At 39.8% G+C, this 2,227-nt stretch overlaps 1 annotated feature.

The window, feature by feature from the left end:
* Positions 320-960: an enhancer, noted in NCBI's record as "NANOG-H3K4me1 hESC enhancer chr5:69257484-69258124 (GRCh37/hg19 assembly coordinates)". NCBI's record gives its function as "activates a minimal SCP1, AML or CMV promoter by ChIP-STARR-seq in primed H9 embryonic stem cells {active_cell/tissue: H9 hESC(primed)}" and the evidence as "EXISTENCE:reporter gene assay evidence [ECO:0000049][PMID:30033119]".

Below are 2,227 nucleotides of genomic sequence, written 5' to 3' on the forward strand. Positions count from 1 at the left end.
CACAATCATTTCTTTAAAAGATTATTAATATTTATTTATTTATTTATTTATTTTTAGGCGGAGTCTCACTCTGTTCACCAAGCTGGAGTGCAGTGGTGCAGTCTCAGCTCACTGCAATTTCTGCCTCACCCTCCCAAGTAATTGGGATTACAGGCACGTGCCACCACATATGGCTAATTTTTGTATTTTTAGTAGAGACTAATTTTTGTACTTTTAGTAGAGACAGGGTTTCACCATATTGGCCAGGCTGGTCACAAACTCCTGACCTCAGGTGATTGGCCCGCATCAGCCTCCCAAAGTGCTGGGATTACAGGCGTAAGTCATCGTGCCCAGCTAAGATTACTAATATTTATAAGCTCTACCTTCTTTCTTGGAGAAATGACTTTATAATTTCACTTTCTAATTCAGTTACCTGTTGAAACTAAATTAAAATATATTCATATGCAAAATGCAAGTAAATAAAAACAGCAGCTTTCTCTATGCTAAAAGGAAGTTCCTTTGGAGCTCATTTCCTTGACAATGCAAGAAAGTACTTCACTGCACTATCTTCATTATGCAAATAAAGGTGCATTTTAGCTCTTTGAAGAAGAAGAGGAAGAACATGTCTCTCAAATGGCAGGAAAGAACAAATTTCCTTAAGGAAGAGTGAGGGAAAGTTCATCAACACCAACCCTAGGTACATCTTCATTCAGACTTGAAAAGCTTTTGAATAGCGTCTGTTTATTCCTGTTAGAACTGAACTGGCAGGAAAAGACAATGGAGAAGCCACAAAGAGGAGTAGCTAGGTAGCAGCATTCAGGTCCACAATGCCTGGATTTCATTATTATTATTCTACTGTATCTTCAGGCAGTTTATGTAAATCATGTTATTGAGTTCTCTCATCTGGAAGATGAGAGTACTAATAGTTCCAGCGTTCTTACATTAGTGCTGCTGCCATTAGTTATCATCATTTAAGTGTCTGTTCTTATTGTTCAAAGAGTGACTGGCAGTTGAGAGTCCCTGGGACCTGAAGTAGGGAGGTAGAGAATTTTGCATTGGAGTATACTGTTATCTTAACCTTGGAGGCCTGAGTGTTCTTAGGTAAAAGACTGCTTTGGAGGCTGCAAATGGAACTAGAATCCCACCAGATCACAGCCATCTGACTTGGTTGCGTTTTTATGGAAACCAGCGTGTTGAGGATGTGAGACTGATATAAAAGCACTAGGATATTCACAGGGTAAAAGTCAGGAGGATCATAACAGCACAGTACTAGAGAACCAGTACGTAGTGGTGTGATGAATGAAAGCCACTGACATAACTTTCGCATCTTGTCTTCCTGTATTCTTTCTTTCTGTGACAGTTGTTGAGATCATGACCTCTTCTGGAATGGTGTTCTCAGAAGTCCTTGGACAATCAGGGTGTACTAGGAGAAAACATGCTGTGAGATGGGATGAAAGTCTTCAGGATGGACACTATACTTTCTGTTATTGGAGGATTCGGTAGTTTGAATAAGCGTTTGAATGAATAAAATATTTGAGTTGAGGACTAAATTCTGATTTTTTTTTTTCATCTTGCCCAAATTCCTATTTAAAGAAACTGGGAGTCAGCCCTACGAATGATAACATCTCTTTACATGGGTTTTTTATTAACCCTATATAATGTGGCTTGCTTTCCAACCTGACTCTGGTACAGCATCACATAACAGACAGCAGACCCTGAAGGATATAAAAATATTTTGCCCTAAAATATATTTCTTTGATGTCTTTTGAAATGGCTGTTGCAAGGCCAGCAAACTGAGGTAGAGGAAATTTGCATCTATGGAGAATCTTCATTAATGCAGCCATGCTTCCCCTTTCTATGCCTTTCCAGGACCTAGGAGTGATTGAGAGTCTGATACCTTTAAAGGTCTGAAAAGAAACATTTACCATCTATTCTCTCTGAGGGCCACCTATGAGGCTTCATCTACTTAATAAGATCCTTGGTCTTTCCCCCACTCTTATCTGAACTCAGGCATTCCTTTCTATCGATTTCAAGACTTTAGACGATAGCATAACTCTCTCAACCAATTGTCAACTAAAGGATCCCTAAAAGCCCCTTATGACGTACAAGCTCCTACCCTGACCTACCTGCAATTACCTGCAGTTGGTTGTCTCCTTGGAATGTATAAAACCAAAGTGTAACCCGGTTGCCTTGGGCACGCTTTCAGAACCTCTTGAGATAGTGTAACCCAGGCCTTGGTCACTTATAC

Source organism: Homo sapiens, chromosome 5 (genome assembly GCF_000001405.40).
Source record: "Homo sapiens chromosome 5, GRCh38.p14 Primary Assembly".
NCBI classification, from domain to species: Eukaryota; Metazoa; Chordata; class Mammalia; order Primates; family Hominidae; genus Homo; species Homo sapiens.